At 37.6% G+C, this 22,695-nt stretch overlaps 1 long non-coding RNA gene across 1 annotated transcript in view; it reads right to left on the bottom strand.

Moving 5' to 3' along the window:
* Positions 1 to 8,078: 8,078 nt before the first annotated feature.
* Positions 8,079 to 22,695, bottom strand: part of LINC01477 (long intergenic non-protein coding RNA 1477) — a 32,948-nt gene continuing 18,331 nt past the window's right edge. Inside the window, exon 4 of the long non-coding RNA NR_110791.1 lies at positions 8,079 to 8,300. This is a non-coding gene — a long non-coding RNA (long intergenic non-protein coding RNA 1477). The remainder of the gene's footprint in view (positions 8,301 to 22,695) is intronic.

Here is a 22,695-nt window from a genome sequence, read left to right as displayed (position 1 = left end):
GCCAAGCACCCATCTCACATATATACATGCACTCACACACACACACACACACACAAAGACACATTCTTTGTCTTTGCGCCTACACACACACACACACACACACACACACACACTCTGGGGACACGACTTACAAGAATCTGGTTTCATACCACATGTGGGGGCCCAGACATTGATATTAAAAATTTTAAAAATTAGCTTCCAATGGAATTCTAATTTGCAGCCAGAGTTGCAACCCACTGGTCTATAGCATGTAGTAATCTGCAGTTTTGCTGAGGCACAAAATTGAATCACTTGTGCTTGGAGTGAGTGATTCCGTTGGTGAAGGAGGTCAGCCTGCCAGTCAGCTTCTACACCTCTGGACAGCCTGGTTTTGCTCTATTTAAGTTTGTATACACACTGACTCTTATGAAGAAAACAACAAATTCGAAAAAAGCAAACAAACGAAAGCAAACCAAAACAACACTTTGCTTCATCTTCTTTGTGAAAACTGGCTGAACAGAAATAAACCGCTGCTCATGTCTCAGATATAAAGGAAGAGATTGTGAAGAAATCTAAGAAAACCCAACAGTAGGGGGATCAGTTAAATGGATTTTAATTAAACAATCTTCTATTACCTGTTTGCCCCTTATTTATTTGGTGATCCCTTTAGGATTCTAAGTTACTGCAAAAATGATACGGGTTTGCCTGATTAGCTAAATGATAGATTGTATTGGCCTTATTAGGTCCAGGATACATCATAACTCCAAGACTGGTTGCAGACTTGCTCAATAATGAACATTCTAAACAAGGAGAGAAGCATTTGGAATTTTATGCCATGGATGTGCATGCTAATGTGTATATGTATGCATACAAGAAAAAGCAAGAAAACACATTTTAAAATCTCCTTTGTATTGAAACAGTTCCTCCTAGAATTGTAGTGACTCACAACCATGACAGCCACTGATTTTCTCCTCATCCCAAATTAGACGTCTGTCTCTCAGAACTCTCCTTTATTTATTATTGTTAGCCCTTGGCACCTTGAGACACTCACTGCCCATGGGCTCTAAAGGGTCTGAGCTACTCTGTCTACTTTAGTAGATATTATTGAGATATTACTTTAGTAGATATTGACATTTACTAGATTTAGTAACAATATAATATCTAGAGGCAGAAGACTCATAACTGTTTTAATGAGAGAGTCTTTATTTTTTTTTCTTGTTTGTTTTTAATGAATTCAAATCTTATCTTCTGCCCACTAGAGGCTCCTTACTAAATATTCAATCCACACTTTCTAATGGGTTCCCATTTAGCCAATGGCATGTTCTTTCCTATTATCAATCATTCATTCAGAAACTTTTACTTGGAACTTCTCTTAATCTTTGCATCACGGGAAGGCTATAGAAGTAAGAATAAACTGTTCATTTTTCCTTACTTTTTTTTAATACTAGACATTCTTTTATGCCATAAGGTTTTTGTACCCCTCACAGAGCCAAGTAAGTAGGTACCTCAATCAATGTAAGCCTCTCCATAGGTGCCCCAGTTTTTGACAAAGTCCGTTTCTCAATGCTATTTTGATTCTCTTCTCATACTCATCAATTTAAGATTCAGACTATCATTCCAACTGTATTCAATATGATGGAATAAATGACACTGAAAGAAAGATTTTTCTCCTAAAAACCTTACTTGGTTAACTGGGCCACTCGATATTTGCATAGTTAACTTACAATTCCTATTCCTCTTTTTCACATGCCAGTCATACATGGATTCTTCCTGTATAGAGGCAGGAACTCTACAAAGAACAACTCTGCTCACTGATGCACAGAGATAAGCCCCTGGAAGCCCTTTCACTTAAGGAACTACATCAAACTAGGATCTTTAACCCTCCATCATTTATTTGTCCAGAATAGTGAGCACTAATCTCTGAAAAGTCTTGCACAATACTCCTACTGAGAATACAATTGCTTTCTGCCCCTGCCTTGCTAGTATTGAGCCTATATGTCATGTTTGAGTACTCCTTGCCACTAAGACCAACAGAACCCTAACATCTTCATATCCTATCCCCTACATATTGGTAAATTTCTTGCTTACTAGTTCCAGGTAAGACCCACTGACTGGCCCTGATGACAAAAATGGCCCAAGAATAACAGTTGTTTTTGCAATAGGAACCTCAAGTCTGATTGCATCAGCAGTCCCAAATGTATGTCCACTCTTAGCATATCCCCAAATGCAGTATTGCACTTTTGTTGTGTCCAGGAATAGCTTCAAAATAAATTTCTTTGCATAAATGAATCGTGTCTTATTACTATTTGTATCTTCTCATAATGACCTGCACATGCTTTGGATATAGTGGAGAATTCATTTATATTAATATATAAATTGGCACAACAAAATTGCACTTTATTACAATTGACAGACCTCCCTGGCTGCATTTTAAAAATGTCAGCCTCCTTGCCCTTCATTTTTTCCTTGAATTGCAGTTAGTCATGTCTCATTCAAAATTCCTGGAAACTTTCTTATTATTGCCTGATTTTAATTTCCTCTGAACTAAAAAAGCAGATAACTAAAATTTCCTAGAATTTGTGCAAAGTTAAATGGGACTCTTAAGAGTTTGTGGGATTTTCTCCTATAGATTAAAAAAATGTAATTATCGTTGAGCTTTGACATGAGGCTTTTGGATGCTGATGAGACATCACATTGCTGCTGCTTTTGCTGTTGCTATTTTCTTTTTCCATTCTCTTGCCCCTTCCCCTTCTCCTCCTTATTTTGCTTCCTCTTCTTCTTTTTTTTAATTGACTACTATGCTTAAATGATATGAAGCTGATGGAAATTCAAATTTATATTTCTAGAAATATGTGCCTTTACCAATTGATCATAAGATCTAATGGAAACAACAGTAATATCGCAAAAGGGTCAGGAATTACCAGTATAGGGGCTGCATATATCTAAGCATCTAAACTGGTAAACTCAGAATTAAAAACTGAACTTTTTTAGTGCAATATATTTTCTCTGTTATCTCTGCTTCCTATATGGGAATGAATGAAGAGGATAAAATACCCTGTAAGTGATATTCAGTTAAGTTATTTTAGTAGTAGTCTCATTACATCTAGCCATTGAAAAAGGCAGAAACTGAGCCCCAGGGACATGTAATGACTTGACAAAGGTCATTTTAGCAGTAAATGACATAGAAAAGAGTGGTTCCCAGAGACCTGACCTCTCAACCCTGCTTCACCATTCTCTAACATTCTACTTTCCCCTGATACTGCCATAAATGCTTATGTTAGTTGGAGATGACAAAACAACAGCAACACTTCTTACTTTCCCTTTTAAAAATTATTGTTCTTTTCTCAAATTGATTGTCAATTTTTAATACATACTGGTATTAATGAAGTGAACTTTTCCTAATAGATACACACATATAGGCCTAAAAAGTTGTACATTTGGTTTGCCCTACTAAACCTAGTGTTTTGCTTCTTTGATCTTAATACGATTGTAAAGATTCCAGGTCTTAATCCCACATAAAATAAGGAGAGGAAGAAGAAAGAAAAGAGGAGAGGGAGAGAGAGGAAGAATGGAAAAGGATGAAAGAAAGAAAAAGAAGTAAGGCAGGAAGGCAGGGAGGAAGGAAGAAAGGAAGAAAGGAAGAAAGAAAGAAAGAGAAAGAAAGAAAGAGAAAGAAAGAAAGAAAGAAAGAAAGAAAGAAAGAAAGAAAGAAAGAAAGAAAGAAAGAGAGAGAGAAAGAAAGAAAAAGAAAGAAAGGAAGAAAGGAAGAAAGAAAGAAAGAAAGAGAGAGAGAAAAAGAAAGAAAGGAAGAAAGAAAGGAAGGAAGAAAGAAAGAAAGAAAGAAAGAAAGAAAGAAAGAAAGAAAGAAAGAAAGAGAAAGAAAAAGAGAGAAAGAGAGAGAGGGAGGGAGGAAGGGGGAGAGAGGGAGGGAGACGGGTGGGAAGCAGGGAGGAAGGAAGGAAAGAAATGAAAAAAGAAGAAGGAAAATAAGGAAGAAAAGAAAGAAGAAAAGGAGAGAGGGAGATACTTATTTTCTTTCTTCAGTTAGGACCACAGAATAAGAAACTGTCAATATCCAATTTGTATAGTCAAAAATATTTTCAGCTGTCAACTAGTCTGACCATTTATTGCCAAACAGAAAATATTAAGATAAAAAGCATTTTAAACTTTATCTTACTATGTGATCAGTCTGTGAGGTGCTCAAAACATATTATGCAAGAAAAATGAAAGGCCAGATGTTACCCAGATATGGGAAAGATGACAGTCATGTGGTATGATGCAGGAGGAAAGTGCACATAAATCTGCCTACCTCTCTGTTTATCATTTTCATATTATACTTCTATTCCTTTTAAGTCTTAACATCTCCATTTGAGAATAGGTGTTTTCTTTTTCTAAAATAGATAACACCTTAAACTTAAAAGTGTCACTTTTATTTAATAGCTATCACCTTAACTAGGAAATTATTGGCCAATTAAAACCCAGAATTTGACATGAATTAGTTCTTAGGGAAAGGTGCCTGTCTGATTTCAACTCACCTCGTAATCAGTTAGTTCATGTGATAGAATGGGCTGTAGAGATAGAAAAAGAACTGATATGTCTCACTGGAAAAACACTAGCTAGTGAAGGTTTTGGCACACAATTCAGCAAGTGGAGGTGTGGAGTTCCTGTGGAGAATGGTGAAATTTCTATCAGCCAAGTAACCCACTCTCTGAAGTGCTCCGTTCTGGTGATGCTGCAGTTTTCTTATTAGGAACTTCTGAATGGTTAAAGGCTGTCCTTGCATTTACTTGGAAGCATTCACTTAAAGACACTTCTCCATGTTGTGTCCTAGAGTCAAAACAGAATAAAACAAAACAATAAAAAAACCACTAAATAGCATCTTCAATAAAGCACTGTTCATAGACAGTCATAATTAAAGATGCCAACCAAGATACCTGTTTGCTTTTTCTTGGCTATAAGAATTCAGTTTGGGCCGGGCATGGTTGTTCACGCCTGGAATCCCGGCATTTTGGGAAGCTGAAGAAGGAGGATCCTTTGAGCCCAGGAGTTCAAGACCACCAAGGATAGGGAGACCCCATCCTTACAAAAACTAAAAAACAAAATTAGCTTGGCATGGTGGCACATGCCTGTGATCCTGGCTACACAGGAGGCTGAGGTGAGAGGATGCATCACTTGAACCAAGGCAGTCAAGGCTACAGTGAGCCATGATCACACCCCTGACTGCACACCCTGAGTGACAGAGCAAGACCCTATCTCAAAAAAAAGAACTCAATTTTTAGTTTTATGATATTCTGAATTCATATTGATATTTCCTATAATGGCACTATATTTCCAAATAGAACTCATTTTGAAGGCAGCTGGAATCAGAAGACAACTGTGCAAGAGAAAACCATCTTATCCAGATATTTTAAATTAGTTAGTTAGCTTGGCAAATATGATCCATCCATTCATCAACAAATACAACTTATGGAGTACCACATTCTTCTACAGGATAGAAATATGAAGAAGTATAAGGGATTTTTCTCAGAATCTGTGAGGACACAGCATGATGCTGGGACCTTCTGTGCTTTTCCTCATGTTCTTAGTGTTCTCTCTCCTCCTGGGCTCATGGTGGGATTGTTCTTCTTGATATTTTGTCAGGTGGAGTAAAGTGTCTAGTTCTGTTCGAAAGCCTGTCAGTGGAAGTGAGATGTTTGATTGCTCATTTTAGATTCTGCAGTCTTCTCTCCTTTACTTCTACAATGGCAGTGGCAATATCGCAGACAGTAGCTGATCTGTTAGACAGGGTACCAGAATGTGGACAAAACAGAGAAAGAGCATTTTATTCTCGCTGAATGGAGGTAGATCAATAAGTTGTGTTGTTCCAAAATATGGAGATACTTGTTGCTGTAGAATAACCTAGCCTCTGTTGACTAGTAGGCATGATCAACATCTAGACATCTCTAAGCAGAAAGCAATTACTTGTACTTACAATAGATTGATTATATATACATATATATATACACACGCACACACCTCAAAATATGTGTTTACTATGCTAATCATAAATTAGACTTAAACTAAAACTCTGTGCTTTCCAAGTTTTCTGGGCCAGATATCTGATAAGCAAGAGTATATATTTGTAATTTATCAGAAATAATGAAACATATCCACTGTATTAGTTCCTTAAGGCCACCAGAACAAATTGTGCAAACTGACGGGCTTCAGAAAACAGAAATTCATTCTTTCACATTTCTGGAGGTCAGCAGTCCAAAACTGAGGTGTCAGCAAGGTCATAATCCCTCTTTAGGTTCTAGAGAAGAATCCTTCCTTGTTTCTTCTTAGCTTCTGTTGTCTCCATAATTTTTAGTGTTTCCTGGCTTGTAGATGCCTCACTCCAATCTCCACCTGCATCTATATATAGGCTTCTTTTCTTCATATCTTTATGTCATCTTCTTAAGAGGATGAAAGGCATTGAATTTAGGGTGAACCACATTCTGAGGTTCCAGGTGGACATGAATTTTTTAGGGCGGGGGGTGCATTAGCCAAGCCAGTACACCAGCAATGTATAGCCTACTTAGAGTGTCTTTGTCCTGAAATTAATGTCAAGGTTTAGGGTTACCAAACAAGCTTAATTTTAATTACAGATAACTAATTAGGACCTGCATTAACATATTGCATTGTCTGAAGAAGGTATGTTTTAAAAAATTAATGCTGGCAAGGTGTGGTGGCTCATGCCTGTAATCCTAGCACTTTGGGAGGCCGAGGCAGGCAGATCACCTGAGGTCAGGAGTTTAAGACCAGCCTAGACAACATGGCAAAACCCCATCTCTACTAAAAATGCAAAATACAAAAATTAGCTGGGTCTGGTGGCAGGGGCCTGTAGTTCCAGTTACTTGGGAGGCTGAGGAAAGAGAATCGCTGGAACCGGGGAGGTGGAGGTTGCAGTAAGCCAAAATAGTGCTTCTGCACTCCAACCTGGATGACAGAGCAAGATTCTGTCTCAAAAGAAAAAAAAAGTGCTTTGGCTCCAATAGCTTATCTGATGAATCTACTATTAGGTCCTGAAGTAATGAGACCCAGTGGTTAATGAATTTTGGAGGAAAGAGAGCTGAGAACATAATGTACTTTTTGGCTGTTAGAATTCAGTAATTTAGAAATCTTGGTTATCAGTAGATGATAGTTTAGAGACAAAGGAGCTTAGTCAGGGTATCTGAAAGAAAGAGCTGTATGTCCCTGAATACAATTTCATTTTTATCACTGTTTTGCTAAGGGATGTTCTTAAAAGCTTCATAAGTCTTGGTCTCTGAGATTATTATTTATTGCTTATAATAGTACCATGTTGCACTCTTATTTAGCATGGCACATCAGAGAATACGATGAATTTTTTCTACCTTAAATCCCTGCAGAGTACAATGATAGAGACATAATGCATCTGCATACACATGCAAGATAGTTTGAATTTAATGCATTTCATATCATTAAAGTTAACATTTCATGTATTATATTTCCTCTTAGAATACACTTGCATACATCCATATCCATATAGATATATGCACGCACACACACAAAATCCCATTATGTAGATCAATTTACTTGATCACAATGTTCATATCCATAAAGCAGTGAACTTCCCAAATCAGATGCATACATAAAAGCATTGATGCATAAAATTTCCATCTTGCAAGTACAGAGAAAGTTCTAGTAGGCATTTAGTGCCATGACAGGTCACTTAGGTTACAACTAGCTATATAGGACATGCTAATAAGATTTAACCTTCTTTGTCTGTTGCTGAAGAGGGGGAAAGAGCAGAGGGGTGAGACTTTCCTATCTTTGAAGATATCAAAGAAAATTAAAAACAACCACCTTCCCTCTGATCCCTGTGGCTGAATGTTTCTGAGCAGCATAAATTAGATACACACAAAAAGAATATATTTTTAGGGTGACAATGTGAGCTTTTAATACACTCTCTACTGATCATAGCATAAGTGAAATGGATTAAACATAATTTGATGGAGTGTCTGTACAGAATTATTTCCATAGTCATACTTGATATGACTCTTCATCTAAAGTAAACCCCACCGAGATTAATATTTAAAATGGAAAGCTAAAACTCAAAGTGCCATGTGACAACACTTAAGTGAAAATTTATTAGACTTGTCATTTCTGTTAATTATTGTCATTTCAGCTAATTAATAGCCATTCCTGTTGGTTATTAGATGTGTCGTTTCCCCTTCTGAGCTGCCATCTACAGTTGCTGATTCTGGTTTCATCGCATACCCTCAGGCAATGGGTCAGTGGCAACCCAGTGGATCCTCACACCAGAAGAACTATTCTTCATTCTGCCAAAAGACAGAAAGATTAGCAAAGAAATCATTAATAATGCTTGTCCTTACTTTCTAGGGTGGGAGTAAAGTGGCATTATTTTGTTATAAACAAAAACAAAAGAAGCAAAAGGGATTGTCTATGGGCTAGAGGTAATCTATGAGGAGTTTGTCTACAGCTTAATTAAACTCCAGAAATCTCATGAACTCAGCAACGTTCACTTCCCCAGGGTCTTGCAATCTATAGTGGACAACAGACTGAGAGGTGTTGGCTGAAGAGTAGCTTAGGAACAGCAACACGAGGGTGATTATCTTTGAAAAATTCTCCTTGTCTGAAATTCTCTCCGTGGATCTTGGAGCACTGGGTGTATGTGTGTGTATGCATATTATTTTCCCTCCAGGGAGTCCTGAAGTATAATCTGATGATGATAATAAAGAGCTTAATCTAGGAATTCTATCAATAAAATGCATTTCAGGTATCACAAGAAAGAAAACAAGGAATGCAGATGTTATATTTAAAAGAAATATCAATACACTTAAGCATCCCTAAGCAAGGAATATGGACACCAGATTTTGTTATCTTTAGGGTTTGATTGGGAATCACGGCATGGTCCACATGAATAAAACAGGCTGTGATAATCATAAAGAATATTTATGGCAACATTATTGGATAGCTGGATAAATGCCTTCTCATTATATTTTGGTTTTATATGTAATTAAAATAAAATAGAAAATTGAAAAATTGTTTTGGAATCTATTTAGTAGAAGTAACCAAATTCATCAAATAAATTACTTTTTCTGGAGAAAAACCTCCAGGATAATCAAAATACTCTATTATTTACTTACTTCAATTTGTCACTTTAGCCTCAGAATTCCACCCTTTCTCCAAAGGCCTTCAAAGTTCATAACTAAGTCGTTTTCAAATAAACCCATTCATACTAATATCATTGGCTTTTCCTCCATATATTGGTTTAAAGCAGTCATTCTGAATCCCTTTGAAATGTCTATTCTGTGTTAGTGAGGTGCTGTATTCTGGTCAAGAGTTATTATTCATAGTCAGAGTTCAAGATCATCTATCATACCTAATGCAACAAAGAGAAGGGAGGGCAAGAGAGTGTCTACAATCTGGCATAGTCTAAGATACACACCAAGGTTCTAAATACATGCATGACATTGTCGGCCTTTATAAGATGCTTCTTAGAGGCAGTAGCAGTAGAACAAAACTGAAGTTCCTGTAGCCTAGAAAACAAATCCAAGTATTCATTGGTCTGAAACTAGACACTTCAGAAAGTATCTTGTCCAACTTAATATCTCGACCACTACTGTCAGCTTAGCAGCTGAAATGTCTTATAGAAGACTAACAAGTAGATAGGATTTTGTTCATTGAACCGTTGAAGTTGGTCTATGTTTCATACCCCTAGACTGTCAGAACTTAAGTGTTGAGTTGGACACACCATCAACCTGTGCCTTCTGTGAGGTTAGGAAACCAACGGCAATCTAAAAGGATTATGTTAGACTTCAGAATCGGATTTCTAGAGTCTGAAACAAATAAATCAAATGCTGATAAATGAAAGAACATACACTATAGATGGTAGAACCTAGTCAATTAGTGATGAAATCAACAATTTACACCTAAATTACAAGTTGGCGTGATCATTATAGTACACAAATTTTCTGTTCTGCTCTGTATGGATAAAACAAAGGGAATGGAAAAGGATGCGAAATGATTCCCAATCTCTTCCAAATATAATTTTTAGATGCATTGAGGCCTGCTTTCTAATCTGTCTCAAGAAACCAGAATAAACATCATGGCAAAAGTGGGAGAAATTTCTCTCTATATGAAAATAGCCACTAGACACAATTGAATTGTTTGTTACCTGTGCAGTTTCCCCTCAAGCCTGAGAAGTTTGTTTCTATTTTCCTACCAAAAACTGGCAATAGGATACAGGTGTTTGCCTGGAGCAACCGTGGGACAAATTGGAAAGGGAATAGAAAAATAGCCTACTGCACGTGAGTGTGCATGTGTGTTTCACTACAATCAATCACATTTTCTTTGACGTTGCTTCATTTATGGATTATTGCAAAAACACAGGAAGAATGTGAAAAGATAATGTTGTAAAGCCACAGGAATGAAATTGGTGGGAGGAACCCATTTCTTACTGTGTTCCCAAGCACTTCTGCACTCAGAATCCCAGCATTGTTTAAACCACCATTCTATATGAGAAAGCTAATCAAATGACACTCAGGAAAATTGACTTGGGCTTTCAATCCAGTTTTAGATCTCTAGTGTACTTATTTCAAATGGCATTTGTTATTCTCTGCATATCCTTAGGAACATGCCCTGTCAAGAAATGCCATACAACTTCAAACCATGTTTTTTCCCACCTCTATAACTTTTTATGTATTCCCTTTTTACATTTTATTACAGCATAACATCTAAAAAATGAAATAAAGATTATAGGCAAAGCTTCAGGACCTTGAGTTCTATGCCTTGCCCTGAATATAAAACTGTGTTGATAGGAACCACTGTTATACCTCTGTAAATTGCTCAAATCTCCCCACTGACCATTGCTGTAATTATTTCTGCTCGGAAATAAAAGGTTTGATGGGCAGAAAGACTATTTTTTATGTCCATTTTTTTCTTCTATTTACCTGAAGTGCATATTTCCACTTGGTGGTGGATTCTGGAGATATAATTTATACATATATCTGAGAGGCAAGTAATCAAACAAAAATAAAGAGAAAAAAATAATCAATTTCTATAAATTTTTAAGTTAATAGGGAGAATTTGCCCTACTTCATCATATTTTAATGATATCAGATTCGTTAGGTTAATTGTTCTTTCTGAAGTTGTGTAATATAGGGAATGGTTGGGGGAGGGAAGAAGTGAGGGAGGGAGGAAGGAAGGGACAAAAGAGAGAGAGAAGGAAAGCTCAAAGTAGAAGTGAAATTTTACAGAGACAAAAAACCTTCATCCAAAAATTTCTGCATTAATACAAAAGATGCTATGGTCAGCTGACCTTAAAGGCATTGAGTTTGTGATACTTTAAAAAAAAAAAAAACTATAGATCATTTCCTATGTATTTCAAATATCTATGTCCCATACTTTCTCCATTCTTTTGCCTCTGCTATAACTTTTCAATATGACTCTCACTCTTCTCCTCTGGCTCAAAGCTAATGTAGGACTGATTAGTTCCTATGTTCACTTTGAACACATTCTTCCCCTCTGAACATACCCTATGACTTGATTTTTCTCTACAATTTATGGAAAAACAGCAAGTATGACAAAATGAGACCATGGGCCATTGTTGAGGGGTGGGGAAGTGGTGTATGTAGGGAAGAGAGGAGATATGAGTTCTGTCTCTCACAGACACCTACTGTGTTGCTTTCCTCCTCTGTCCATTGTAAGTCAGACTCAGTCATCCCTAAGGACTATTTTGTAGATCAAAATAAGTCACAAATCACTCCCCTTTAAGTAAGAAGGTACTCAAAAAGTATTAGGGAAGAGTAATTTTCGTTTATAACAAAATTAAAGTCATGACTAATAGTAAATCAGGACAAAAGGATGAAATAGAGAAATAAAGTTAGAGAGTATCAAAAATTGTTTATTTGTTGGGGTGGGGATCATTGTTTTATTGTGTGATTGTATAAACTGTTAGCTCATACACTTTTCCAAAGGCTCAAAAGTCAAAAGCCTTTTGTTTTTGATCTTTTTTATTTCTCTTTCTCTGTGTGTGTGTCCCTGTCTCAGTCTCTCTCTCTCTCTCTGTTAGTTCTTCTTACTTTGTTTCTTTCCTTTCCTCCTCTGCTCCTTAATTTCTTTTCTTTTCCTTTATTTCAGCTGGGTTTAAGGAGCCACATTAAAGCCTGGTGACCTCAGAATACCTTTCCTGGAAAGAAGACCCCTCTGAGTATGGAGGTCCCACACTAATGAGACCCAGGCTACAGTGTGGAAAGTGCTTGCTCCAGCATCCAATTCTCAGGGGATTGTAGGAATGAAAGTTTGTCGCAATCTTTCCTGTTTTGTAAAGAAAATATGAATGGAAAGATGCTAACTGTGGTCCCAGAGGATGTGTTTGCCCTGGACCTGAGAATACATAGATTTTCTCTGTTTGTTCAGTTTCTGAGGAAATTCTATACCTTGTACTCATGTCTTACATTGATGTATATGACCGCAAAGTCTTTTAGACTGTGTCCACATATGCCAGTTTAGCTAGTGGAGATGAAAAAAAAAAGACTCAGCTACTTCTTAGGATCACTGGATTTAGAGGCCATTCTACCCACTTACAGATGAGGAAACTAAGGCTGTGAGAAGCAAGGCAACTTACACAAAGCCACAGACCTAGTTGGAGGCAGAAATGACACTAGAATCTTTCTGTCCACAGACCAGAATGAGTAACACTGTAGTTATGAAAGTGAACTCATCCCACTGGATGTACGCTTCAGTTTAATCCCTTAACAGGCATTTATGGAACATCATTTATTACCAGTGAGAGAACCCTAGGCTCATTAGTCCAACAGAATGGCCCAGTTCAAACTTACTATGGTTATGCAAAGTCACCCCTCGTTTTAGGAAACCAAGAATGTTTTTGCAATGACCAGAGCTCTAAAAAGCATCCAAGATAAAAGCAAAAATGCTTGAAAGGAGGAAAATGGTGAAATGGAAATCGTTAGTGTGAAATGCAGAAAGAGTACCTGCCAGCACACTGATTTCCCCATGCTTTAGTTGACTTCAGGTTTAAGAATTGTTTTTGATATGCATATCACTGCTTCTTGTTCGAGTTAATTTGTTTAAACATTCATGAAGGAGAAGGTTTTTTAATAGAAATGTGCCAAATGTTTTTTTCAATTACAGACAAACTAGGGTGTTTGCTGATCCATGAACAACGTGAATATTCAGTTGTGGAGAGTTTTACTGCCTAGTAACAAAGTTTTTATTTTTACCCTCTCTGTTAAATGCCAGAATCTGTAAGGAAAATGATAGAACACCGCTTTAGCATCAGCTTCCTCACAAATGATTTGTTTTGAATAAGGCAGTGGTTTGACAGTAGCTTTGTCGGGATTGAAAACAAAAACAAACTATGTATAGGCAAGAAGCAGTAGAGGAAATGACGCTGTGGGCTGAAAAAATCAGTGAGGATGCAGCAAGACCAGCAAGAGCATAGGTGAGACTACGTTCTTTTTATAATCCAATAGGTTGAGGGCAGTGTTGTGTGAAATTGGGTCAGAGACTCCAGGGAAGTTTGTCTTCAGAGGCATCCCAGCTGACCTTCCAAAAACAGTCTGGCTTACAAGTGACAGTGGTGTGGAGAGCCAAAAAGGGTCAGGAGAGAAGGAAGAGGCTCTATGAGAAGGTGGAGCAGAAACTGTCCCATTTCTGTTTTGCTCATATCTTGTCCCAGCCCTAACAGAGTCTCTGGCAAATAGTATAAGCCTAATAGATCTTCTTGAATTAAAAATGAATGAATACAGGCAATAGACAATAGGAGAATTCCTAAGCAGACTAGCAATTACACGTAGGAAAAGTCAGTTTCAAATAACCTGTCCCAGTTAGGAAGTTTGTGGTTCACAAACAGGATTCTTCTCTAAGAAAGTAAACAAGAGATTTTCATAGTGAAACTAGGGCATAGTCTTATGAGAATTTCATTTTTACAGGCAGAATGGATTATTACTGTGATGTACTTGGTTGTGAACATCCAAGATCTTAAGCTACTGACTTTAGGCTTTCTGTATTCCCTCAACCCAAAAACTGGATCAATTCCAGAGACTGAGATGAAGCAGATGGGGAAATTGACCCCAATACAAAGCTACAAAAGAACTAAAAGCCAGGGAACAATGTAGTCATGTGCCACCGCATAGCAACATATATGCTGGTGGTCCCATATGATTATAATACCATATTGTTACTGTAACTTTTCCATGTTTTAGATACACAAATACTTACCACTGTGTTACAATTCCCTACATTATTCAGCACAGTAATATGCTGAGCAGGTTTTGTAGCCTAGGCTATACCGTACAGCCTAGGTGTGCAATAGGGTATGCCATTGAGATTTGCTTAGGTATACTCTCTAAGGTTGGCACAATGACAAAAATCACCTGCGGCATTTCTCAGAACTTGTTCCTGTCATTAGGCAACACACATAACTGTAACACAAATAGTTTCAATCGCTGTTTATGGAATTTGGGACAGAAAGGAAAACCACTGACAGATTTTTTTTCAAATTATCACTAGAGAAAGGTAGCTGTCACCCCCTGTCAGAACCATGAAGGAGTGGCCCCACTCCAAATTCCTTCCGTCTGGGAATACTGGTGGATTTTATTGACTAGAAAAAAAACTATTGTCAAGTTAAGCCTGATCACCACACTTCATGAAACTCTGTTCTCCACAACCACAGCCTCTCTCTGGATACAGGTGTCCCTGAGACTGGTAGCATTTAAGTCCATACCACTGAAGTCTCTGCAATCAGCAGAGAAGGCTTGGCTTTCGTTAGCTGCCCACCTCTAGTGTTGCACCATCACTGCTTCCTTTATCTAGTTGACTGTTGATTGGCAGAACTTGCAAAAGATATTCCTTCCTTTTGTCCTTAGGGAAAAAGAATAACGTTTCGTGTTATATGCTCTATTTCCAGGATATCAGGCAAGAACCCCTTCTCTCCTTCTTCAGGTTTTTCATGAAGCAGCCTCGGAATTTCAGTCTTTTATTGAAGACTAGATTAAAGAAGGGGGCATTGGTATGTGTATTTTCTGATGTAGAATATGCCAGATGAGAATAATACTATAGGTGCACATAGATGCAATGTATTTATTTGAAGTCTAGGTCAAGCTCCTTAGGAGATTGACGGCAGATGAAGCTAGGGTGATGCACATAGATTGTTCATACTGAGTTCACTCTGGACAATATTCAGACAAATTGAAATACGGATTGTCTCATCTGCTAAACCTTAGCAACCAGTGAAGATCCATGGGGACTGCCATTCCTAGGTTAGAAATAACGTTGAATGATGGAATAGCATGTGGAGTGATGATAGTGGTTCCTGACTGATAACACATAAGCAATCACCAATTCTAGTGATAAGGCTGATCTTATTACAAATTATCTTAAATTGTGCTGGTAACCTAATAACTAAATTTAAGTTTATTCTTTAGCTTAGTTTCATTTAAAACTGTGATTATTAGAGCACTAGTGTACAATGGAAGTGGCTGAGGGCCGATACAGAGGGAAAGAGAAGAAATGTAAATGGCCATCAGGTGGAGTGAGGGTATTGTGACTCTTCTTCTTTATTTAAAGTAGCTTCACTTTCATTTGTTTTGTGTAATAACATTTTGCATAATATTTCCCTTCCTTAAAAATGCTGATCTGTTTGCAATCTGAGAGATATTTATTGAGAGAAAAGACTACAAAGTTTCATGTATGAGAGAGTTCTTAATTTTCTTTATAAATAGGTAAATGAATTTAGTGACTTCTAAAGATCTAGTCTCAGCTTATCAATCGCAGCCCAGGATCCATAAGATTTAAACAAGCTGGACTGATAAGTCTTGCTGTCTGTTTGTACCTTCCCATCAAGGTAAAACGAAACCTCCAAGCTAATTCAGACATAGAATTCATCTTCTCAGCTCCTCCACTCAGGCTACTGTATGGCTTTTAAGAAATCCCACAACTGTAACCTTTAGGGCCCCCAACAAGCAATGGTCCCTAACAACAACTTTGGCTCCATTCTTCCAATTTTTGTGATCAATCTCTCTCATTTCTTTCTGAATTTTCTTGAAAAAAAATCACTAGTACTATAATGTTTCTGAAAAATCACCAGTAGCAGTTCATGAACCTCCAAAGCTGACCTCAATCCCTTCCAGCAAAAATTTTACTTTACATTTTAACAGAAAAATTCAGTTGATTATTGAAAAAAAATGCATCAACTTCTTGCCTCCACAACTGTGAATATAGCTCGGTGGTAATGTTTAGCCTTCTTTCTTTTCATTGCAGAAGATAAAATATTATTCCATTTCTTCAGTATCAATTGCTCTATCTCTGTGCTCAGTCTCATTATGACAGATTTCCTCTAAGGAATTACTCAATCAAAAATTTGCCTCTCTCCCATTGCCCTAAATCTTTCCCATTTATATTTCAGTTCAAGAGTATCTTATCTTCATTCTGCCTTTGACTCCATGTTTTTTTCTAACTACCAGTTAAGTTTACTCAAAGCATCAATGAAAACAATGTATGTGTGCGCATGTGTGTGTAAAATACTACCATAGAATAAATATACATATATTACATATATGTATATTCTATGGTAGATATTTATGTCAATTAGGCTATTCCCAGCTAAAGTAACAGAAATCAAATTAGGACTGGAATAGAAACATAAGAATGTTTTTAAATCTTGTATTCTAAGAATTCTGGAAGCTTGATTTTTCAGAGCCAATTACCAAGGTTTCATATCCCCTCTTCCATTTTCCAGATGTCAGCTTTCAGTTTTAGGTTTGTCCTCTTGGTTACAAAATGACTGCTGTATCTCCAGAGATCACAGCTTCAGACAGTTACACTGAAAAGCTAGCAGTGGAGAATAGGACATAAGTATTTCTATATCTCATATTTAAAACTTTCACATAAGCTCAACAACATGTTCCTCCTCATGTCTCCTCATGTTGTCCAGGGTAACCACTGTGCAAGATTCATCCCCTGGAACTGAGAAAGGGCCCAGGTCCCCTAACACTTATCGCACTTGATACCCAAAGCAAATCATAGTTCTATGAACAAGGAAGATGCCAGAGCAAAGGGGGTTCCAACATGTGGGTTTTTTTTTTCCACTCTGTTGCCCAGGCTGGAGTGTAGTAGCACAATCTCGGCTCACTGTAACCTCTGCCACGTGAGTTCAAGTCATTCTCCTGCGGCAGCCTCCCGAGTAGCTGGGACTACAGGCGTGGGCCACCACGCTCAGCTAATGTTTGTATTTTTAGTACTGATGGGGTTTCACCATGTTGTCCAGGCTGTCCTTGAACTCCTGACCTCAGGTGATCTCTCTGTCTCAGCCTCCCAAAGTGCTGGGATTACAGGTGTGAGCCACCACAGCCTGTCCAAAATGTTCTTTAAACTAGAAATTCAATTAATCAGGGTCCCAGACCTGAGCATCATTGTTGGTTACGGTTTTGTTCTGCTGCATACACAGGCTTTGCTCCATCAAGGTATTTTGTTATTTGACATTTGTTATTTTTTTGTTAATTGACTTTAGGATTAAAAAGAAAGCAAGCATGGTGCGTGTATGTTTGTAGATATGGCAGAGGAAGTGAGAAGTGTGGAGACAATTCAATAAAAGTTATAAATTCATGACTAGGTTACTGAACGGAATTCATAATCATTCATAACACTTGACTGCTTCTTATACATTTTGGGAAATCTACCATTTATATAGCCATAGGCCTACTGGCCCAGAAATAGAAGAAATTAGAACAAAGGATCAGGTTGGAATTCAGGGCTGAATAAGCATTCTGCATTACTCTAAATCATAGTCCTGTTGCATTACACGCTGTTGCGACCACAAAGGAATGATTTTGACAAAGTACAGAGAGAGATCTCTACTCATACCTGTGTTCCTTCAGGCTAAGGACCTATCATGACTTTTCAATGATAGCATGGAATACTGGAAACTTAAAGAGGAAGCTCATATTGAACAGTAGTTTCTGTTAGAGGAGAACTTGAACATTAGTCAGCTTTGGTGAGCAGATATTCTGAGAACATGTTCGTATGAGATGGCTGAACCGAGCTCTAATTTTTCCTCTCATTTTATGTTATCTGTCATTATTCTGGCACCACCTCATCTTCCCACTCATTCTTAGCCTCTGCCTCTCCTTACATTTCTTCCTGCTCTCCTATTTTTTTTCCTCCCATCTGGTCTTTTCTTTTTCTCCTCAATCCCTCCTTTTTGATTCCTTCATTTTCCTTTTCTTCTTTCTCTCTGATTTATTTAACCCCAGTAGTCAACTGGAGTAAATGTTTTTACGTATTGGACACTATTAGGGATCCACCCTGTTCCTCAAATCTTGACAGGATCAAGGTAAACTGCAATGAGCAGAGCCCTTGTTTAGTCAAGTTTAACTATGTAGACAAACAATCTAGATAAATAATTCCCAATTGCTGCTCACAAAAAACACCATTTTCCTCCTTTGTACTGTTTTCAGGCCTTAAATTTTTTATGTTCCTGCCTTAACACTTCACTTCACAATGCCTCCATAAAAAAAAAAAAAATGTCTTTTTCTCTTTTGTTAAGAGAGGAGTATCTTCCCAAGCAGCTATCTCTCAAGATGTGTTGAAATCCCAAGAGGAATAGTGTTTTACATTTTTAAAAAAATGCTTTCCCAGGTTTTATCTTGTTAGATACTCCCCAGAATTATGTGAAGTAGGCAGAAAGGTAAAACTGCTTCAGAGAAGTTAGGGCAATAATGTTACAAACTAATTAAGGGCAGAATTAGATCTGTCTCTGTCTTCATAATACTGGTCCTATGAGTTTGCATTAGAGTACTTTTGTATGAAATGAGCAGACATAAAGATGGTGAATATACAATAAACAAACATGTATGTTTTTCTTCCTCTATATTTTCAAGGGAAAGTAACGTTGCAATTGCTCACCCTATGGAAACTGGAATTGCTTCCTCTGGGTTACAGACACACCCTTATCTCTACAGGTCCAGCTGTGTGTCTCTGTCCTTTACTCCATTTTACTCAGCTATGTGATGTGGCATCAGTGCCGGTCAAAAACGGAGCATTTTTCCTTCCTTACTTCTTTCTTTCTCTTTTTCCTCTCTCCCTATCATCTTTCCCTGTCCTCCCACTTTCCTTTCCATGCTCCCTTTCCCCCTTCTCTTTCTCTGTCTCTGCTTCTACTTTCATTTTCTTTATTTCTTTAGTTTCCTCACTTGCTCCTACGCACACTCCCAAGAACAGAGAAAAAAAATCCGTGATTGCCTGCATTCACGTTCTCTTTGCTTTCATCCTTTTTCCCCCTCAGTCTTATAATGTAATGCCAATTATTAGAAAATATAATTCACTGTGTCTCACACTATTATTTATAATCTACTCAAGCATTTTCTTCACATTCTTAATATCCCCGGTGTCGGGGAGAATTACAGCTGGGAAGCTGACTGCAGGACTCTGCGTAACAAGAGGAGAGAAGAACATTGTTTTCACAGGCAAATTTTCTGTTGTGTGGTGAGCTTTCATGATTTTTCTGGAATAGTTAGATATTTTTGTTATGCCTTTAAAATTATTTTTGCCAAAAAACTCAAGGCAGTCTATGATTAAGTTTTGTCTTTTGTTTTTTTGTAGGGATAAGAAATTTTATAAAATCAGTAGACCATTTTAAAGGAAGGAAATTATAAAGATACCTAGTAAATAATGATTCTTGAGCAGTTTAAATCCATTGTTTGGCTCTGAGCATGAATGGCTCATTCTATACATTCTACACCTTTATTAACTTTCCCCAGCCTCTGGGCCTTCTCTCTCTCTCTTTCTCTTCCCTTTGGCTCTCTCTGTCAACACACACACACACACACACACACACACACACACACACACACATCAGGGTAAGCTCTCTGTGTATACATCAATGAAGTCTTGATTTTTCCTTCTTAATTTAGCAATTGACATAGTCTGTGTTCTGGGCAGTCTGGTCTATCTGTATGTATTTATTTGGTCAAGGATAAGATTCATGAACATACCTGGAGTCAAGACAATGCTGGACAGAACAAATAAATAGAAAAAATAGTATACATTTTGGAAATAGGATTGCAATAGGAAAGAAAGTGAAGAGAGCAGTTGAGAAATAGCTCATTTCTGCTAGGTTAGCAATATGCCATCTTGTCCCTTGGATATGAGAGAAAGCTAATGGAAGTTAATATTAAGACATTGGGTATTCTGTGAGGCCCACAACACATACACACAAACACACATACACACGCCTCTTCTTTCTGTACCATGAGCTGCAGAGACTTTGGCTGTCCTGTCTTGGTGACTGCAAATAGTCACCCTCTTGAGCTCCTTCTCCTCGAATAACTCAGAGGTAGACAGTAGTCTCTCTCCCTACCTGCTTCCCTCCTGCTCCCTTGCCCTACTCTACTTCAAATAAGCATATAGATGCCTTACATTTTGAGACTTTCCATGCTAATCATGACAGGAAAAGAGACATATAATAACAATAATAAACTAGAAGGAGTTACTAACCTTTTAGGATTTTATGTATGATCAAGCTCTCTAGCGTGCATTTTATAAAATGTTCTGAAATCCACCCATCCATGCAGCTAAATGATACTCTTGCATAACATTTTTATAAAGTAGATCATAGTCCTAGTAGAATCGTTTTGATTTTATCATACATATATGTCCTTACTGTTCAGCTCCACAGTTTAATTAATGAATCAGTCCATCATTTAGAATTTTGTTTTCTTTTGTTTACTTGTATTTTAAATCCTAACTAGACACTATACATTTCTCTATACGAAATAGACCAAAGAGTGTAAAATCAGCCACTGTCTTCATGAAACATATCCTGTTTAGACAAGGAGTCAAAGACAAATTTAATTATATATGGCCCTAAACTATTGCCAGTGCTCAATGGTGACCAGCTAAGAAATACTGCATTCATTTCCTAGGAATGCTGTAACAAATTAGCACTAACTGGGGCTTGATTAAAACAATATAAATTTATTCTTTCACATTTCTGGAGGCTAGAAGTTTGAATCCAAAGTGTCATCAGAATGTATTCCTTCTTGGGTCTCAAAGGGAGAATCCATCCCATGACTCTCCCCCACCTTCTGGTGGTCGCTGGCACTCCCTGGCACTCCTTGGCTTGTAGAGGCATCACTCTAATTTCTGTCTCCATATTCACATGGTGTTCTCCTTTCTGTGTGTCTCCATCTAAAGAGACACTTAAAAGTCTTCTTATAAGGACACTAATAACATTGGATTTAGGGCCCGCTCCAATCCAGTATGACCTCATCTTAACTAATTACATCTGCAAATATCTTATTTCCAATTAATGTCATAATATGAGATTTTAGGTGGACATGAATTTTCCAGGACACTCTTCAACCCACAACAGATGGTAAACATGGGTCCTGCTACTTACAAGCTTAAACAAGATGTTATTCTTAAATATTTTATTCCTCTATCTGTGTAGTATATATTTTGCTTTTCTGCACAATAGGGAGGTTTACGTGTACTTTCAGGGTACATCAGGTCACATAGTTAATGGCTACTTAATCACTCTCCGGACCTTCATTTGAAAACCAGCACAACCACTCAGAGTCCTATGGCCAGTGCCCGAGAGTCTGGAAATGTACTTTGTTTTGATTTTAACCTACGGACTTGTAACTCACTCAACTGACAGAACACTCCTAAAATAAACTTTATAACTAAATAGCTATTACCTAAATCTATTTGTAAAGCTCCAAGTAAAGAACTAGGAGTTTAAAAATAAGGCATTAGCTTTAAAAATGTTCTATCTGGTGGTAAAGTATAAAGTATTACAACACACACATACACATATATACAGGGAAAGGGACAGGGGCCTCCCCATAGTCTCAACCACTTTCATTGGGTCAAAAGAAAATGCTTGATATTCAAACTGCATAATCTCAAACCTATTTAGAAAACAAACTCACTCACTCTCTAGTCCTCAAATATCTCTGATTCTTGTCATAGCGGGTGTGATAGAGACAGAGAAAGAGAGAGCCTTTGTTACAGTAATTTGATGTAACCTTGGAGTACTTTAGGCTCCAGGAGCAGGTCTCATGAAACAGTGTCTCTCTGTCTCTCTCTGACCTTCTCCTCTCTTTCTTTCATCTGCCCAAGGCAGGACTCTAATCTATTGTGGGTCGAAAGACCCTCATTGCATACCCTATAACAGGGGTGTCCAATCTTTGGATTCCCCGGGCCACACTGGAGGAAGCATTGTCTTGGGCCACACGTAAAATACACTAACACTAATGATAGCTGATGAACTATAAAAAAAAAAATCGTGAAAAAACAAAACCTCATAATGTTTTCAGAAAGCCTACAAATTTGTGTTGGGCTATATTCAAAGCCATCCTGTGCTGCATGCGGTCTGCAGGCCATAAGTTTGACAAGCTTGCCCTCTAGGGAGGAATACTACCCTGAGACACCAAGAAAGGTCTGAACAGACAGGCCTTGCTGGGTTTAGATCATGTACTTTTTGTGTAGTCACATTTCTATATAGTTTTTAATTATGCTTATGTAATGAAGCCTCCATAAATGGGCTTGGAAGCTCCTAACACTTTTCCCCATGCCACACCCTACACATATCTTTATCTGAATGCTTTGTAATATCCTTTATAATAAACTAGTAAATGTGTTTCCCTGAGTTTTGTAAGTTGCTCCAGCAAAGTAATCAAACCCAAG

Source organism: Homo sapiens, chromosome 18, assembly GCF_000001405.40.
Source record: "Homo sapiens chromosome 18, GRCh38.p14 Primary Assembly".
Lineage (NCBI taxonomy): Eukaryota > Metazoa > Chordata > Mammalia > Primates > Hominidae > Homo > Homo sapiens.
Note: the sequence above shows the minus strand (reverse complement) of the source record. Positions and strands in the feature narration are given on the sequence as shown.